The sequence below is a fragment of the Homo sapiens genome, chromosome 10 (genome assembly GCF_000001405.40).
Source record: "Homo sapiens chromosome 10, GRCh38.p14 Primary Assembly".
NCBI lineage: Eukaryota > Metazoa > Chordata > Mammalia > Primates > Hominidae > Homo > Homo sapiens.
This window is the reverse complement of record NC_000010.11, coordinates 109,661,235-109,681,390: the sequence shown is the minus strand read 5'-3', so window position 1 is coordinate 109,681,390 and position 20,156 is coordinate 109,661,235. Positions and strand designations below refer to the sequence as shown.

General features: G+C 39.6%; 1 pseudogene, besides 2 other annotated features; it reads right to left on the bottom strand.

Annotated features, from left to right (window-relative positions):
- Positions 1–217: 217 nt before the first annotated feature.
- XIAPP1 (X-linked inhibitor of apoptosis pseudogene 1) lies at positions 218–19,577 on the bottom strand (annotated as a pseudogene).
- Positions 4,130–5,329: an enhancer, noted in NCBI's record as "MED14-independent group 3 enhancer chr10:111435820-111437019 (GRCh37/hg19 assembly coordinates)". NCBI's record gives its function as "activates an origin of replication core promoter dependent on BRD2, BRD4, P300/CBP and CDK7 cofactors, and independent of MED14, by STARR-seq in HCT116 cells {active_cell/tissue: HCT116}" and the evidence as "EXISTENCE:reporter gene assay evidence [ECO:0000049][PMID:35650434]".
- Positions 17,969–18,469: an enhancer, noted in NCBI's record as "H3K4me1 hESC enhancer chr10:111422680-111423180 (GRCh37/hg19 assembly coordinates)". NCBI's record gives its function as "activates a minimal SCP1, AML or CMV promoter by ChIP-STARR-seq in primed H9 embryonic stem cells {active_cell/tissue: H9 hESC(primed)}" and the evidence as "EXISTENCE:reporter gene assay evidence [ECO:0000049][PMID:30033119]".
- Positions 19,578–20,156: the final 579 nt, after the last annotated feature.

Genomic DNA, 20,156 nt, shown 5'->3' with positions numbered 1-20,156 from the left:
GTTAAGCCCATCTGAAAAGAATAAAAAATCCAGATGACTAATTCATGTACACTTAGAAATTAAATCAGTATACTATGAATACACGTTGCGTTCAGTTATAATATGATGCTTCTTGGTCTATGGTTTCAATTAATTAACAGTAAAAAAATGGATAATATGGCTAATACCCTGAAAAATCCAGACATTCAAAGATTATATTGCCAACTAAAACACTGCCATGTACATTTTTTTTCCTACTTGGTAGCAGATGCTAATGGAATTCAATCTTGATTACTTAAAGTCAGTTCACATCACACATTCAATCAGGGTAATAAGAACAACATAACATGCCTACTATAGAGTTAGATTAAGACATAAAAATTTTTTGCTTCAAAGTAATGACTGTGTAGCACATGGGACGCTTGTCAACTGCTTCAGCACATTGTTTACAAGTGACTAGATGTCCACAAGGAACAAAAACGATAGCAATATTTCTATCCCTACAGATTTTGCAAAGCTTCTCCACTTGCAGGTGCCTTAGCTGCTCTTCAGTACTAATCTCTTTCTGTAATGAAGTCTGACTTGACTCATCTTGTGTACTGTCTTTCTGAGCATTCACTAGATCTGCAACCAGAACCTCAAGTTATTTATAGTTGCTCCCAGATATCTGCATTTTTTCCTCCATTATTTTCTTAACATCCTTGAAACTGAACCCCATTCATATAGCTTCTTGTACCATAGGATTTTGGAAGATGGTATCATCAATTCTTCTAGTTAGTGATGGTGTTTTCTCAGTAGTTCTTAGCAGACACTCCTCAAGTGAATGAGTTAAATGAATATTGTTTATATATTCTTGTCCCTTCTGTTCTAACAGATATTTACACCCTGGATACCATTTAGCATGTTGTTCCCAAGGGTCTTCACTGGGCTTCCAATCAGTTAGCCCTCCTCCACAGTGAAAGCACTTTATCACTTTCACCTAAAGCCAGTGTATGTTTTCTTAGAGATTTTCCCCAAGGCTAGAAAGAGGGTCCCATCATTTTATTATGGCTCAATGTCCTGATTAACCAGCTCTTTCAGAATAGGGTTCCTAAGGGATATACTTTAAAATAAACCAGAGATAACCAAACAGAAAGAACTGAGATACATAATGAGTTATAAATACAAACAAGTTCCAGAAAATATTTACCTGCAGTGAAGTAGGATTTGACACTATCTGAAGATAGAAAAAAAAAGTTTAGCTCATTACTACATCCAGATTTCCCATGGCACACCACTTTTTTGCATTTCTATTAAAAGGTCCCATCATTGGGAATGAACAGGGACTTCCACAAGTTTTTTTCTACTTGTCCCTATTGTGTTGTTCTCCATATCCTGATCTTTGAAATGTGGTGATGAGTTACGCAGCACTAATAGCCTGTTGGAGATTATTATATCTACAGTATTCACAATTTTGACCACTTGCTTGCAACCCTGAAGGTGTGTGTTTAGGAATAATCACAGCGACCCCATAGAATTTTTTTGTAGTTTATATGAGGCAGTGAATGGAAAGTGGTAGGACTGAATCATATTGGCCATGAGGCTGGTGTGAAGGAGTAGCAGGTAATAAGCATCCCTACCTGACTGTCCTATGTCCACATCTCAGTTGGTGTTAGTTCCCTGCATTCTAGAGCCCATATAGCAAAGGGGTTAGAATGCTGGACTCAGACCTCCTGGCCTAGAGTCCCAGCTCAGCCACTCCCTAGGTCTGCAACCATGGGCATGTTATTTAACTTCTCTATTTCCTCTTCTGTAAAAGGAATGTAAATATAATGCCTAGTACACAGGACTATTGTGAAAATTAAAAAGAAAAATACTTGGAATAGTGCCTGGCTCACACTAAATGTTTAATAGATGCTAAAGATTGTTTTTAAGATTGTGGGTTTGCAAAACTCTCTCATAATATTACTCAAGAATGTCAAGGTTAAACTATATTCCCCATATTTTAATGTCAGTACAGCAGCAACAACCCTCTCTCAGATGCTGGGTTCCATGATATTTGATCCATATTATGAGTTATAAGCTTTTATTTTCCTCATGATCTCTTTTGAAAGATGCCAGGGTAGGAAGTATCTGGCACATGTGCTAATACATCTTTTTTCCTATGCCAATGACAGTCATCACCAATCGGTCCCAGTACTTTCTCCCACTAAGCTCAGACAAGCTTTCAGAATTCTTCTTGATACAAAGTCAGGACAGCACTGTTAACTAGAGTCAGCTCATGAGATGTAGCCTATTGGCCATCTTTATTCTAGAAACTCAGTCTCATAATATTGACATAGTTCAGGAAAGAAATTGCATAGAGGAAGGGACTAAAGCAGGAAGGAAGATAACAAAAAAGATGACTGATGTACTCTGCAGCATCTGTAAGCCATTTCCTGTCATAAACACCCATTACCCCACTTCATTACCCTACTGTGATGATTTGCAATAATATAAAATGAGCTAATTTTGGAAATTTGTCAATGAAAAATCTCAAATAATCAAATATCCAGATTTATATAAGAGCTGCTATAAAAATGACAGCAGAATTTATCTGTACTCCTGAGTGGGGTGGATACTGCAAAGAGTGTCATCTGGCAATTTGCTTTAATGGGTGGAGAAGTATTCTTGTATTTATTATATCAGTTATAGGAAGGCTGATAAACTCTCAATGCAAAAATTATAGAAAGAAAAGATTTCTTGATGAAAGATTTTTATAATTTACTTTGGTATCATTGTTATCTGGGTCATGACACTTGTGCATGACCTTTGATTAGAAACATTTCTAACCAAATTGAAGATAGAAAGCTTTTAGAAGTGAAATAAAGGCATGGAATAAGTGCTGGAAGATTCTCCATTGACCCAATGATTAGGGGAACACAGTCCTGGATATCATCCTTCCTCTAACTACCTCCAGTTTAGCCCTTCACCTGACCTGGGGACAAATATGGCACCATGTGTGAGGAGTGCTTACCATCCTTTGAATGTTGCAAAAGGTGTATGAGTCCTGTTCAGTTTATGACCCAGTTTGTAGTGCTTGTTCAATTTCTTTTTTTGTCAGATCTCCTCGTGGACATTGGTTCACTGATCCAGAGGAGGGGCTGATAACTATGTTTGTGACCTTGACCTTCTGGTCACAATGGATTGGCTGCTACTTGTTTTAAGTTGAGTCCATCACTTTCTGTCTCTTAGAAATTTGGAATTGGAATTTAGAGATTTGTACAGAGCCAGTCTTTACCTGTTTTGTGCTCATAAAATAACATATTGGAGTTGGCCACTGTCTTCTGCCACTATGGGACCCCAGCATTGAAGAGATGTGGGATGGGGGAAGGAAGGGAGAAAGAGAGAGAGAGAAGCAGAAAGAAATAGAGATGAGGAACAAAGGTATGCTGTATTCTGGGTTCCTTCACATTTTTGTTTGCCAGATCCAGTCTCTTTCTGAGGACTGGCTGCACTCTGGGTCATCAAGGTGAGTTAGAGTGATGCTGGCCAGAGGAAACACAGCTAGGCAAAGCCATGGTATTTCTAGTTCTTTGCAAGCCATCTCACTTTTTTTATGACCGCTGTGTTGGTGGGTCTTAGCATGGCTCCTTATACTTAACAAAAAACACCTCACCATCTCCAGCCTTCAGATAATCATCCCATTTCCCAGTGAAAGATATTCCCCAGCCCTCCTTCAAAAAGTCAAGGCAGGTTACATAGCATCTGATTTGGGAGCTAGCAGCTGAGATGATATTTTTCTCCTGGACCTACATGCCATCACTTGAATCTTTTCTGCCAAAGTCAAGAGGAGTGTGAAGTTGTTTTCCTTCTGGACCTACATGCCATCACTTGACTCTTTTCCTGCCAAAGTCAAGAGAAGTGTGAAGTTGTTAAGTGCTTTTCCCCGGCTACCTTCTATTATCCATTCCACTTCCAGTTTATGCCTCATTTCTCCTGACTGAGCATAATGACTAGCAGTGCAACAGCCTCAAGATACCTGTTATTTCTGTTTAATAGAGGGGAATATTAAAATTCAGAGATCATGTAATGGAATTCAGAGATCATATAATGGGTCAAATAGTGGGGAAGTGGGGGAGTTGGAATTTTGGCTCAGGATGGTCTGACACCAAAATCCAACCACCCTTGGACCATCCGCTTCCTTATGCTCAGTAAAACTAAAGATAAGTTTACTTCTTACCCACTGGGGAAAGTGCTCCATTAACCCAGTCCTAGTGACTCTAGCTCTATTCTCTCTCCTACATTTTCAGCTTTCAATGGAGTGTGGTAAACTGGGATGGATGAGCTTAGTTCTGGGAAGCTCTGGAGAATGGGTGGTCAGATGCATTGATTCATGAGAGGAAAAGGAGAAGAAGAAGAAGGTGATACTACCAAATGCCAAAGGGCCTGGGAATTCATATGATCTGCAAGTAACTACCAGCTCCCCAGACATGCCCCTGACTTTGAGAAGGACTATTACAGGTTGCCCTGGAGTAACACTCCTTCCCAGATTCCACACATTCCTGACCTCATGACTCAGTGGCACCTCTTCCTCTTCCTTTCCCCTTCAAGTCTATAAATATATGTTTTATGTTGCTTCCACTGGATACATGCCTGTCCTGTATGTATCCACATGCTCTAAACTCTCCTGCTTCCCAGCACCTTCTTGCTTGTCATGCCTCCCCTGGTCCATGCATTTGTTTCTAGTATTCCTCTCATTACCTCCTTCCTTATGCATTATGGTCAAGAGAAGAAAATTATTCATTCAATTTTGCATCCTTTTCCAAAACACATAACTCAAAATCCTACATCTGTGAAGAGAAGAAACCTTGTGAGCTCGTTGGAGGAAGCTTCATCCCAAGTGAGACTTTTTCTGAGCAGACTTTCATCACCCTTTCTAAAGTTTCACCCAGCCAGAAGGCTGCCCTGCTGAAAGCCTAACGTCTTCACAGGGCACAGCTCAGACCTCAGTAGATATTAAGAAATGCTGGTCATCATTTATCCTTTACAAGAGCCATTCACATTTGTCACCTTCACCGACGTTAGTCACCTCCAGACTCTTGAACCGATCCAAATGGTCCTGGTGTCTGTGACTTTTCTCAGAGGTCCATTCTGGTCAACTTTTAAGGGGCGTGGCTGCTCCCTCTAAGTCCTCTCCATATTTCTATGCATACTTGAGGGCAGAGCTGCCCACTGGCAGGGATCCTAACATTATTTGCCCAATATTTTTCCCTGTGTGATTTCTGAAAAAGCCCCTTGACAAAGTCTGCGAGGGTATTCTGGGCTCAGCTTGGTGTAGCTATAATAAAGATCTTTTATTAGGAATCTTATTGATTTTTTTTGCCGGTTTTTGAAGCTCTTCTTTACTGTCTACACAGAGATCAAGAACTGTCACGAATGATAATCACTCTCATTATTAACTTAAATTTACTTTTCTTGCACCCAATACATCAACCTTTACTACTATAAGTTATGGCCGTTAGAAGCCAGAGCTAAAGACTGAAGTTTACTTCTCTAAGATGTGAGAAGGCAGGCAAGTCACTGCTCTCTGTATGAGGGTGGGATGAGGAATGGAGAATGTGTCATTTGGTGGATACATAAAAAATGCATTATACTTCCTTTAGAAGATAATTATCTAGGAGCCATTTGCTGAGTTTAGTTAGAAGTTTCTTTCTGAGGTGGAAAATGAAGGAAAAGAAAAGAGAAAGAAGAGAAAGGCGGATTGGCTGACAGATGGACTAAATAAATGATGGAGAAACAGTAGAGACAAGGGGTTTGTTGACCAGGAAGGCAGTAGCTCTCTTGAAAGCAGTAGGATGCAAAATGTCTCTTAAAAAAGAAATCATAAAACAGTGCAAGTTAAATAAATGATGTTTAGTTATTGAAAAATGCATTTATTTTTAGCTTCTACCACATTTTAATTTTGTATGTTTGATAATAAGTAGTATCTTTTACTGCTTTACCTTCAGTCCAGAGAACTCAAGCTCCTTCAGTCAGCTTAGTTAGAACTTTGCAAGTTCTGCTTCATGGGGGTAAAGGTGTAACTTTGTTTTATTGATTGGATAGTTAAATTCAAGAGAGTTGCCTCTCAAAAAATGATGCAGTAATTTCTCCAGCCCTTCTGTTAGACGGCCCCTGCCAATCACTTGTCCCACATCTTGTTCATCCATTTTTTCATTCTGTGTTAATCAGGACTGTGTTGGTTCTAAGTAACAAAAACCTAAATATAACTTAACAAATAAGCAAATAAACAAAGTTTGGAAGCCCAACTATTGCCTTCAGGTTATGTTTAATCCAAACATTCTAACAAAATAATCAGATCTGTCTGTCTCTGACCATTGACTACATGACCCTTGGTTGGATTTTTCTCTGCCAAGATCCCTCTGACAACAGTCTATGTAACCCAACCTGGCACTTAATAATAGGCCATCCCTGTGGTCTTTTCTGACATTTCATGTGTGTTAGTTTTAATTTCTCAACCAGAATGGAAAGTCCCATAGGGGAGGCCCCTGGCCTTTCATGCTGCTCATTCTGTGGTCATCTGGTATGGACAGTGGGTACTCAGAACTATGATTGGATATTCAGGATTATATACATTTTGCACCGATTGTCTATTAACATTTGTAAAATAGAGATGGTAACATCAACCACACAGGTCTTATGTGGAGAACAAAGTGATATATCTGAAGCACTTATTGCATAGTGAGTATGTTATAAATGATGGACACATGTATTTGTATGTGTATATGTATGTCTGTGTGTATATATATATGTATATGTCAATATGGTCATATATAATTTAGATGATGGATTTCCTGATCACAGAGTCCATGTCTCTTTTTTCTTTTTTCTTGTAATGCTGAGGATAGCATTCCACAGGCACTCAATAGAAGCTTGTGACTGAAAATATAAAACTCAAATCTTTGCAGAACATCTGGGTCTCATAAAAGGCCCTGAAAAGCTCCAAACCATTTATTGCTCTTCTGATCTTCATATGGAAGTGACTGTGGCACGATGATTAAGACCATTGGTTGGGTTTGAATCAGATAGACCTGAGTTTGACACCTAAGTGTACCCTCCTGTAGTTTGGATAAGCTCCTTCTAAGATTCAGTTTTCCCATCTGTACAAGTCAGAGTAATAATAGTACTCTTACATTGACTTACTGAGTAGTAAATGGAAGAGTAGAAGATCAGCATTCTGCACTATGTCTGATATAGAGTCAGCACTCAATAGCACTCAATATGCTTCTGCTTATGGTAATTCCAGATATTGTACCTACAGTATGGCCCTGCCTTACAGAAATATTTTTTGGAATAGTACTTTTTTTTTTTATTGTAGAAACTCTTCTCCACATAGATACTATTGAAAATCTTGAAAGTGAACTTTATAAAGAACTCTAAGATATAAAAACAACAACAATGATTCATTAGGAACTGTGTATAGGCACAGAATCCTATGACAACACATCAGAACTTCATTTTTCAGGCGTAGTAACTGGGCCCCAGAGCTTGTTAGCAGCAGAATCTAGATTAGTTCCCACAACTCTATATACTTAGTTCAGTTTTCCTCAAACAGCATAACTCAATACCTTTATTTTCCTCCAAAACTCTGCCATAAACCCACTGAGAGATCTACTTAACGGAGTTATCCCTATGAGAACACATGAAGAGCCAGTCCTGACAGAAATAGCTGATAGGAGAGAAGAACAACTACCCATGAGCAGGTGACAAGCTGTCAGGCATGCTCTCTATTGTGTAAAGAGTGTGATGTTCTCAGTTGCATACACCCTGTGAGTCTACAGAGCCCACAGATTTATTTTAGAGTTCAGCTCAGTAGTTTCTGAACCATGAAACATATTTTATGAGTTTTAAATACTTTATATATCAAAAGTTGTAAGAAAATTTCAGAACATGCCATTTAAAAAAATCCACCTTCCAATGAAAAAAGCTCCTCTTTTTCTTTCTTCTTCAGGATTTTTATTTTATTTTTTATTAGTATATTTTTTATTTCAATAGCTTTTGTGGTACAAGAGATTTTTGGTTACATGGATGAATTATATAGTGGTGAAGTCTGAGATTTTAATGCAACTATCACCTGAGTAGTGTTCATTGTACCCAATGTGTAGTTTTTATCCCTCACCTCCTCCCACTCTCCCCATTCTGAGTCTCCAAAGTCCATTATATCACTCTGCATGCCTTTGTGTACCCAGAGCTTAGTTCCCACTTATAAGTGAGAACATACAGTATTTGGTTTTCCATTCCTGAATTTCTTCACTTACAGTAATGGCCTCCAACTCCATGCAAGTTTCTGCAAAAGACATTATTTCATTCGTTCCTATGGCTGAGTAGTATTGCATGTTGTATATATACCACATTTTCTTTATCCACTTATTGGTCTATGGGCACTTATGTTGGCTCTACATTTTTGCAATTGTGAATTGTGCTACAATAAATATTCGTGTAGGAGTCTTTTTGATATATTGACTTCTTTGGGATATTGCTGCATCAAATGGTAGATCTACTTTAGTTCCTTAAGGTATCTCCATATGGGTTTTCCATGGAGGTTGTACTAATTTACATTTCCACCAGTGGTGTGTAAGGTTCCTTTTTCACCACATCCATGCCATTCTTTTTTGACTTTTTAATAATGGCCATTCTTGCAGGAGTAAGGTGGTATCTCATTGCAGTTTTAATTTGAATTTCTTTCATGATTAGTAATGTTGAGCATTTTTTTCATATGTTTGTTGGACATTTGTATATCTTCTTTTGAGAATTGTCTATGTCCTTTGCCCATTTTTGATTTCATTATTTGTTTTTTTTTCTTGTTGATTTGTTTGAGTTCCTTGCAGATTCTGGATACTAGTCCCTTGTTGGATGCATAATTTGCAAATATTTTCTCCCATTCTGTGAGTTGTCTGTTTACTCTGATGATCATTTCTTTTGCTGTACAGAAGCTGCTTAGTTTAACTAGGTCCCATTTATTTATTTTAATTTTAGTTGCATTTGCTTTTGGGGTCTTAGTCATAAATTTTTTGCCTAGGCCAATGTCCAGAAGAATTTTTCCTACATTATCCTCTAGAATTTTTATGGTTTGAGGTCTCAGATTTAAATCTTTCCTGCTTCTTGAGTTGATTTTTGTATAAGGTGAAAGACGGGGATCCAGTTTCATTCTTCAACATGTGGCTGTACAGTTTTCCCAGCACCATCTATTAAATAGGGTGTCCTTTCCCCAATTTACATTTTTATATGCTTTGTTGAAGATCAGTTGGTTGTACATATTGACTTTATTTCTGGGTTCTCCATTCTGTTCCATTGGTCTATGTGTCTACTTTTATACCAGTACCATGCTGTTTTGGTAATTGTACCCTTGTAGTGTACATTTGGAGTCTTATAATGTGATGCCTCTAGATTTGTTCTTTTTCTTAGGGTTGCTTTGGTTACTTGGGCACTTTTGTGGTTCCATATGCATTTTAGGATTAAAAAATTATGTGAAAAATGATGTGGGTATTTTGATAGGAGTTTCATGGAATCTGCAATTTCTTTAGGCGGTATGGTCATTTTCACGACATTGATTCTTCTAATCCATGAGCATAGGATGTATTTCCATTTGTTTGTGTCCTTTATGATTTCTTTCAGCAGTGTTTTGTAGTTCTCCTTGTAAAGATCTTTCACAACCTTTGTTAAGTATATTCCTAAGTATTTTATTTATTTATTTTTTGCAGCTGTTGAAAAAGGGATTGAGTTATAGATTACACTCTCTCCTTGATCTCACTGCTATATATTGTTGGTGTATAGCATTGCTACTGATTTGTGTACATTGATTTTGTAACCTGAGACTTTACTGAATTTATCATGTCTAGGAGTCTTTTGGAGGAGTCTTTAGGGTTTTCTAGGTATATAATGATCTCACTGGCAAACAGCAATAGTTTGACTTTCTCTTTTCCAATTTGGATGTCCTTTATTTCCTTCTCTTGCCTGATTGCTCTGGCTAGGACTTCCAGTACTATGTTGTAAAGAGGTGGTGAAAATGAGCATCCTTGTCTTGTTCCAGTTCTCAGGGAGAATGCTTTCAACTTTTTCTCATTCAGTATGATGTTAGCTGTGGGTTTGTCATATATGGCTTTGTTATTTTGACATAAGTCCCTTCTACACCTAGTTTTTTTGAGGGCTTTTATCATAAATAAATGCTGAATTTTACTAAGTGCTGTTTCTGCTTCTATTGAGATGATCATATGGAGTTTAAAAAATTCTGTTTATGTGATGTATCATATTTATTGACTTGCATATGCTAAACCATCCCTGCATGAAACATTCTCCAAGATACACCATATGATAGTCCACAAAACAAGTCTCAATAAATGAAAAAAAATTGAAATCATATTAAGTTTCTTCTCAGACCACATTGAAATGAAACTAGAAATCAACTCCAAAAGGAACACTCAAATCTATACAAATACATGGAAATTAAACAATCTTCTCCTGAAGAATTTTTGGGTTAACAATGAAATCAAGATAGAAATTTAAAAATTCTTTGAAATGAATGATAATAGTGATACAAATTATCAAAACCTCTGGGAGACAGCAAAGACAGTGCCAAGAGGAAAGTTTATAGTGCTAAATTCCTACATCAAAAAGTCTGAAGGATCACAAATTGATAACCTAATGTAACACCTCAAGGAACTAGAGAAATAAGAACAAACTAAACCCAAAGTTACCAGAAGAAAGATCAGAGCAGAAATAAATGAATTTGAAACAACAAAAACAATACAAAAGATCAATGAAACAAAAAGTTGATTATTTGAAAAGATAAACACAATTTATATACCATTATCTAGATTAACCAAAAAAGAAGATGTAAGATTCAAAGAAGCTCAGTTAGAAATGAAACTGTAGACATTACAACTGAAACCACAAAAATACAAAAGATAATTCAAGACTACTATGAAAACCTTTATGCACACAAACTAGAAAATCTAGAGAAAATGGATAAATTCCTGGAAACATACAACCCTCTTAGATTAAATCAGGAAGAAAAAGAAACCCTGAACAGACAAATAACAAGAAGTGAGACTGAATCAGTAATATAAAAAATTGCCAACATCAACAAAAAGCTCAGGTCCAGATGTATTCACTGCTAAAGTCTACCAGACATTCGAAGAATTGGAAACGATGCTACTGAAACTATTTAAAAGGACTGAGAAAGAGGGAATCCTTCTTTACTCGTTCTAAGAAGTCAATATCACCCCATTACCAAAACTAGGAAAGGACACAACGAAAAAAGAAAACTACAGACCAATATTTCTCATGAACGTAGTTGCAAAGATTAACAAAATACCAGCAAGCCAAATCTAACAGAACATCAAAAAGGAAAAGCTCCTCTTTACTAAGGAATTCTAGCTAAGAAATAGAAGAGATTATGAAATTAGAAAATCACCATTTTGCAATCATCAATATAATTATTCAGGTAAGAATCACCAATTGCTACCAAAACTATAGGGAGGTGAAAATTTATCAGGGAAGAGAATGTTCACGTGCTCTCAATGTACCATCCCATAGATTACTTATTTATTTCAAAGGGAGAAATGTTTATTACAAATTCTGAGTGATGTTAATTTAAATGATTGACAAAACATGGGATCTTCAATAATGAGATATATTGACATTATGTAACTCTTGATGTGATGCCAATGCTATGGAGGACAGAAAAAAGTTAAGGGGACTATTCTAGATTAAAAAGACAAAGAGAAGGACAACTAAATCCAATATTCCTAGGTCTAGCTCACCTTCCTAGGGCCCAGAAAAACAAGCCTTTGTATGTAGGGAATGATGACAGAAAACATATTGCAAGCTACAGGCACTAAGAGGAGCATCCAGTACCTTTATTTCACCAAGAAAAAAAAAATCTAGGCTAGGAAAGGAATGATGACCTCAGTAAGATTAGGCACTTTGCTCAGTTCACTCCTGACACACTAGCCCCTCTGTTGTTTCTCCAGTCTAACAGACACAGGGCCACTGGACTTCTAATATCCTCTTCCCAGAATGCTCTTCCTCCAGAGAGGCATAGCTCTCTTTTTCACCTCCTTCAGCTCCTTGCTCATACAGCCTTCCCTGACCACCTATTTTAAACTAAAATTCACTCTTACTTGATTTTTCCCTTAAGTGTTTGTCAGTCCTTCATACCATATATTTTACTTGTTTTTTTAACCATCTTCCAGTAGTAGAATGTAAACATTATGAAGACAGGGATTTTTTTTAAACATTTGTTCATAAGTTTTCAGTGTTGTGTCCACCATTGTGCTGGTTGCTACATTCCCTGCCTGCAGGAAGTTTCTGTCTAATGGACTTTTGAAGCCAGGGGGAATATTAGTGGTGCAAGTGTGACACCAACCCCTTCTTAGCCTTGTGATGGTCATGGGAACTGGTGTGAATTCTCCTGGGAAAGGCACATCCTGGCTTTACATCAGAGATTGTGCCTGCCTCTTCCCAGTGCTGAAAGAGCTGAATTAGATTCAAAAAATTGCTGACACTGAAAGATTATTCACACCATTAAAAGTTATTTTTTTTAAACAGAGACATTGTTTAGAGCAGTTGTAAAAAGAAGGTCTAGTTCTCTTAATGGGACACCTATTAAGGTGAGGAAGCCTTTAGGAGAAAGCCAAGAGGAGATTTTAAAGTCCTTTAGGATCTATTTTCTTGCAGTAGCTACATGATGGGATGGAGAATTTGGGCCCGTTCTCCAATGCTTGGACAACCTTGACCACCTGCCTGTGCATGAATCATGTTCCACTTGCTGCATGTTTTGTATTAAAAATGATGTCTTAACCTAGCACTTGTAAATCACGCATTCTAAGGACTATTCCCAGTAGGGCAAACATATTTTCTCCTTCCACCCTCCTCGTGACAATGTTACCTCAAACTAATAAAAGACTGGTGAGGGCGTGAGCTGCACTCTGAGGCCAGGAAGCAATGAAGTTAAATAGGCAACCGAAGAACTAAACCCATTACTGTCAACTCATCATTGCATCCTCCATTGACAATTTACTCTTCGATAGCTGCTGTGAGTCAGATTTTCACACTTCTTATGACATGAGTCAGGGACAAGTGTCTGGCCTTGTCAACAGTACCTGAGTGTATTAACTCTGTACAGCTAGAGAGCTACAAAATGGACACTCAATATATTTCCCTTTGACCCAACTAGAATGGCTGCATAAATTCCTGAAAAACAGGTTAATTTTTGTGACTTGATGTTCCATCATAGATTTAAAAAGAAACTTACTATATTAGACATATTCAACAACTTGTCCTTTCTTTTTCAACTCAGTATCTTCTCCATGAAACATGCTGTCTTTTCAGTGCCATGGATTTGCTAGTAAAATACCCTCTGTTTATTATAAAGACTTCCTGATTAGACACAATACATTATTCAATATTTTTATTTAAGGTGATTTTTGATATGGTTGGGTTAAAATCTATCATAATGCCAGCTTTTTTTTTGTTTGTTCCATTTGCTCTTTGATTTTCTCCCCTTTTCTGCTTTCTTGTGGTTTAATGGAAGAGATTTTATTATCCTATTTTATACCCCCCATTACTTAATATTTACACATCTTTAAAAAATTTAGTGGTTGCCCTAGGCTTTACAATATACACTTAAATATAATCTGAGTGCACATTAAAATAACATACCTATCCATGTATAGAGTAATGACTTTAAAGGGACCACTCGTCTCTGGAGTTTTAATCACATATTTCACTTTTATATATACTGTAAACACCATATTACTAATTTTTATTTAAGCAGCCAAGTACCTTTTACAGAAGTGAAAAATAAGAAAAAGATTTAATTTTATCTTTATGCCATTTACAGTGCTTTTCATTTCTTTTTGTAAATCTAAGTTTTTGACCTATGTCGTATTCCTTCTGCCTGAAGAACTTCCTTTAACATTTTTTATATACTAGCTTGGCTGGAAATGAATTCTTTCAGTTTTTAATTTTTCTGAAAAAGTCTTTATTTCCCATTTATCTTTGAAAAATGTTTTTGCTATTATAGAATTTTGTGTTGATTTTTTTCCTTTTAGAACTTAAAAAATGTCATTCCACTGTCTTCTTGTTTGTATGGTTTCTTAAAGGAGTCTGCTAGAATTTTTAGCCTTTTCCTCTGTAAGTGATGTGCATTTTTCTCTGGCCACCTTCAGAATTCCCCTTTGGTTTTGTTTTTCAGCAGTTTGACTATGGTATGCCTGGGGTGTGTGTGTATGTGTCTGTATGTGTGTGTGTGTGCGCGTGCGTGCGTGCGTGCATGTGCGTGATTTATCCTTCTTGGTGTTCTGTGATCTCGCATGGTGTCTATCTTTTCCACTGGAGACTTTACCATTTTAATCACAGTTATTTAAAATCCCTTCCCTGATAAATCTATTATTTTTGTCATATCTGAGTCTGCTTCTGCTTTTTTTTATATCTCTTCTGACTGTGTTTTTTCTTCCTTTTTAAAATATGCCTTGAAAGTTTTTTCTTGACAGTTTTACATGGAGTCTATCAGAGTAAACATAAAGTAAATATTTCTTATGCCTGGAGAGAAGTGTGCTTTTCCTTCTGCTAGGTCTTTTAATCAGGGAGTTGAGCTGGGTTTAAAGTTTAAAATTCGTTGCTACTATGGTTATCCTCAGTGCATCATAAATGCTTCAGATTTCTCTAATGATCTCTTGAGTTTGAGGTGTGGGTCAATTTGCCAGAAGGATTTTTCTCAATGACTACTGCCTGCCTGAATTTAGGAATCCCTGCTTGGCTTTTTGTCCTCAGAAACTCACAGTTTAGTGGAAGAGCCAAGTACATAAAAATTACTATGTATTATGGTTTCCTAGACTCATTTAGATGGAATAAGCTTTGGCTCAGCAAGTTAAAGAAGGTGGCAGTTGAAGAAATCTTCTACCAGATTCCCTTAATTTCATATTTGGCTTGTTTTCTTAGACTTTTTCTTCCTATATGTTGCTACAGAGATGGCCAAACATTATTGCCCATGGTAGACAGCACTAGTTACTCACAGAACTCTCTCATTGAGTCCATATGAGTCAACAGAATTCTTTGAACAGTAAATTTCAGGTGGGCATTACCTGTAAGAACTGTCACAGGGTAAGACATCTATTTGCCATCTTCATGCTTGAATATTCTCAAGCTGCTTGTCTTCCTGATATTAGGGTCCTAGACTTTCCTTGTTTATATTATACAGTGACTTTCAACAAACCTAGTTCTAGTTTTGACAAGCAAGTTTTGGGTCCATGAAATAAATGTGATTACTCAGGGAACAGGGATGAAATAAAGCAATAGCTCTGGACCCCAAGGTCAAAATATGGGTAGGAGAATTTTATGTGATAGATATATATATGAGTATTTTTTATTTTTATTTTTAGAGATGGAGTCTCACTCTGTTACCCAGGCTGGAGTGTAGTGGTGCAATCTCAGCTCACTGGAACCTCTGCCTTCTGTGTTCAAGTGATTCTTCTGCCTCAGCCTCCTGAGGAGCTGGGATTACAGGCATCTGTCACCAAGCCTGGATAATTTTTGTATTTTTTAGTACAGACAGGATTTCACCATGTTGGCCAGGCTTGTCTCGAACTCCTGATCTCAGGTAATCCACCCACCTCGGCCTCCCGAAGTGCTGGGATTACAGGCATGAGCCACCACACCCGGCCCTATATGATTACTTTTATATGATAGATAACGTAATTTACAGAATTAACATGTAAGGTTTAAATTATTCCCAACTGATTGTAACTTTATTGAGGCATGGATTTGAATCCCAAATGCCATATGTTGGTATAAGAGTCACTAAGCCCATGAGTAAGGCTAGCCTATTGCTCAACATCCATATCACAACAAATGACCATACTTCCCTGTGTACATGGGAAGCTTAGATCTTTCAGGGTTTACGGAAAACAACCCATTCCAGAATGAGAGTGGTGATTCCAATTTCAGTGAACTGACAATGCCTCCCAGGAATCTTGTGTTTAGAGGGATTTTGAGGTCATGCCTGTAGAGGAATTCCATAACTGATTAATGGGTAATGAAGAACATCAGCACATATGCCTTATAAATGCTGTCTGTAAAACAGTAAAAAGGGAAATTTTCTTAGCCTGGGTTCTCCTTTAAACGGAGGCCAAGATAAAGGCTGCATTGAGGAGGTTCTTGGGAATGTGATCCTGGGGAATGACTGTGAGGACAAAGGGAGTGAACAGGGAGTGAAGGAAAGTCAATATAAGAATGCACTACTGAGCTGGCTACTGCTACTGTTGACTAGTACTTTATTTCAGCATACCTTTGGGGAGCCTTGGAAAATATATTTTACAATTATCTGCCTATGGAACAAAAGGGAAAAAAAATTTGTACATAGGTTTCCTCCCTCATCAGTCAAAGGTGGCTCCACAGGTGTTAGGTCTTCTGCATTTCCGGGTTGTATATGCATGAGTGCTGAGTGGGTCCTGGGGTATCAGCTGCCACAGCTACACAGAAGCCCCAAAATGTTATGGGATTTTTTTCTGGCCAGAACCTCTGTGGCTTGTGGTGCTTTTGCCTGAGTTTTGCTCAGGCCTGCTAGGCTCATTTCACCCACTTGGCCTGGCAGGCTGCACTTGGCTCATGCCACCCCCCTGGGTCCCACGCCTGCCAAGGGCAAGTCAGGCATGTATGGTGAGAGGTGTGTGAGCAAGTGTGGGGTCCAGCCTCTGTGCACGGTCAGACATGCTGGCTACTGCAGCAGGGTGGGCAGCTCCAGGTGCCAGCATGGGCACCAGCTCTCTGTGAGGCTGCAGCCAGAAAAGGTGCACTGCAAACAGCTTCCAAAGCTGGCACCGGAGAACACAGTCGTGCTCAGAATTTTGGAGATGCCGGAAACCACAGGACCCCAAAGAGAGAGTAACAGAACTAGCTCAGGGAACTCCCAGGTCTGAGCTCTCCAAAGGGCCACATCTCTTCTTTCCTTCTCTTCACCTGCAATGTGGAGAGCAAAGGGCATGTCTCAGTCTTGTTTGTGTTACAGCTCTTTCAGCCTTGCCATTTGGTGGGTCCCAAGTCCTTGTCCTGTGACCAGGAAGAAAAAGGTACAAAGACAAGTAGAGGGTGAGCAAGATGAAGAAGAACTTTACTCAGTGATAGAACAGCTTAGAGGAAGCCTGCAGGGGGAAGCCCTTTCCGTAGCCAGGGTGTCCTGATGAGTTTTCAGCTCCTAGCAGAGAGGGTAGCTCCTTTCTTCTAGGCAAGTCATCCTGACAAGTGTTCAGCTATCAGCAGAGAGGGTAACTCCTCCCTGCAGTTGGTCATCCTAACATCTGCGCAGCTCTCAGCAGAGAGGAGGCCCTAGAGTAGGTGGCTTCTCTCTGCAGGCAGGTTGTCCTATCATCTAGCCACCATCTCTCCATCATCTCCCTGACATCTTTCCATCATCTCTGCAAGTCTCAGCAGAGAGGAGGCCCTAGAGTGGGTTGCTCCTCTCTGTAGCTGGTCATCCCATCGTCTGCTCAGCTTTGGCTGGGTCCAGGGATTTTATGGGCCTCAGAGGGGAGAAAGTGCATGCTCATTGGCCCATGCTAATTGGCCCGTGGGTGGCCATATGTGGGCAGAGAAAAGGCACCACAAGTTCCCACTCCAGTTCGGGACTGGCAGCCTGTCCCCAAGCCTTTAGGCCCTCCCTGGCCTGGTGCCGAGGGGAGCCTGCAGGCCAGTGCTGAGCTGCCCTCAGCCCCTCCTTGGCTTCCCTCCTATGATCATTGGTGCCCAAAATCCAGACAGCAGATGTGGCAAGGGGCTGGTGTGTCAGCACTGCCCTGAGTGTGTTCATGCCAATCCAGGCTGTGGCAGCACCTGGGCTTAGCCTCAACTGTGCTCCGAGTTCAGAGCAAGCACTGACAGCAGGAGAAGCCAAGCAGCAGGAGCAGGCAGTTCCAAGCCTGCAAGGGTAGGGGGTAGGGGGTACTTCCTGGGCCCGCAAGAGTGCAGAGATGCCTGGGTCTGCAGTGACAGTTTGGGCAGCTTCAGCTGCACCCGGGGGGACAGGGCTCGTGCCTGCTCCATGGAGTGGGAGGCCTGGGTCTGCAGCTGTGACTTGGGCGGCTGCAGCTGCACCCAGGAAGGTGGTCCTCCTGCCTACCCCGTGGAGCAGGAGGCCTAGGTCTGCAGCTGCAACTTGGGTAGCTGCAGCTGTGCGTGGGAGGGTGGCACTCCCACCTGCTCCTGGGCTGTGAGAGCATAGGGATGCCCAGGTCCACAGCTGTGGCTTGGGCAGCTGAAGTGGCACTCAGAAGGGATGGGGCTTCTGCTTGTCCATGGCTCCTGCTGGCTTCATGGAGCGTGCAGCTCTGGCCATGCCTCCCTGCTGCACACAGCGAGATGGCAGTGGCTCTTCCAGACAGCGTGCTGCTGCCATCACAAGGGCAGGAAGAGGCAATGAAGCAAAGCCTAAGGCAAAGCTCTGTCGGGTTGCACCTTTTCTGAACTAATCAAAGTCAAGCAGTTACTGGAAGGAGAATGGGGACCAGAAGAAGAAGAACCATGCTAAAAGGTGTGTCCAATACAGCTACTCTTATACCAATTCTTTTGAATCTTATTCTCTGTAATTGCGTATGCTCAATGGTTGGACAAAACTCCATAGAACCTCACTGTTTTAAGATAGTCCATTCAAGTGGGATCCTTCTCAGGAAGCATGTTCCCCAGACTATCTCTAATTATTTAATTCAGCTTTAGATTTGGTGGCTGGCTGAACACAGTTGAAACCCTACAAGCCAGAAGAGATTGAGGTCCTATGGTCAGCATTTTTTTGTTTTTTTTTTTACTGTTAGATGATACACTTTATTTATAGATTGAGCAGCCCTAACCTGAAAAGCTGAAATCCAAATGAAATACTTTAAAATTGGATACTTTCTGAGAGCCAACGTGATGCCACAAGTTACCCTGAAAGTGTTATTTTTTTCACTGTATTGATGGTATGTAATATTTTTTATTGTTAAGTACTTATGTGCAAATAAGTATAACAAAATGATTACTTATAAAGGTACCATGTAAATTCAGAGTCAGGAGCAATGGTGATGCCAAATAACCATAGATTGTCCACTAGGATAGTTGAGATAGTGACACTTTTGTTTTCTGATGGTTCAGTGACTACAAACTTTGTTTCATGCACAAACTTATGAACTATATTGTATAAAATCATCTTCGGGCTATGTGCATAAGGTATACATGAAACATAAATGAATTTCATGTTTACACCTGAATCTCATCCCCAAGATTTCTCATTATGTATATGCAAATTATCCAAAATCTGAAATCCAAGACACTCTGGCCCCAAGCATTTCAGATGAGGGATACTTAACCTGTACCTTAATATTAGAAAACCATAAATCATTTTCATGTAATGTGGCAAGGTAGACAGATGTAAGAAATCCAATGCAAAGGGCAATGGTTCCACCAATTGTCAATGACAAAATCTTCCATAATCTTCTACTGGTACAACCAGATGGCAATCTATTTTCGAACTTCACATTTTCTTCTTGGGCTGGAAAGTCTTCAGAAACTTCTGTGGCTCTTATTTCTCTTCTTTGCCAGATGGACACCATGATGTCAGACTTACATGCATCGTTCTCCCAATCACTCCTGCGGCCTCAGCCGTCCTTACGTGCTGCTCCGGGAGGGGAAGGAGGCTGACGTGGCTAGGTGGGAGTGGGGCTGTGCCACAGGCCACAGCATGCCACGGGGACAAGGAGGGCAGATCTGCCACAGAGCTTTGTGGAAATGAGGGGCTGGGGGGCTTTGACAGCCCTGGGGAGGGGGCGCGACAGAGAGGCCGGGTGGCTGCAGCCGCACCTATAGGCCCTGGTCAGCATTCTTAAGAAAAGAAATTCCAACCAAGAATTTCACATCCAACCAACCTAAGCTTCATAAGCAAAGGAGAAATAAGATCCTTTTCAGACAAGCAAATGCTAAGGAAATTCATTACCACCAGACCTATCTTTCAAGAGGTCCTTGAGGGAGTGGTAAATACAAAAAGGAAAGATCGTTACCAGCTACTACAAAAACACACTTAAGTACACAGACCATTGACATTATAAAGCAACCACACAATCAAGTCTACATAATAACCAGATAACAACATGATGACAGGATCAAATCTGCACATATCAATATTAACCTATAAT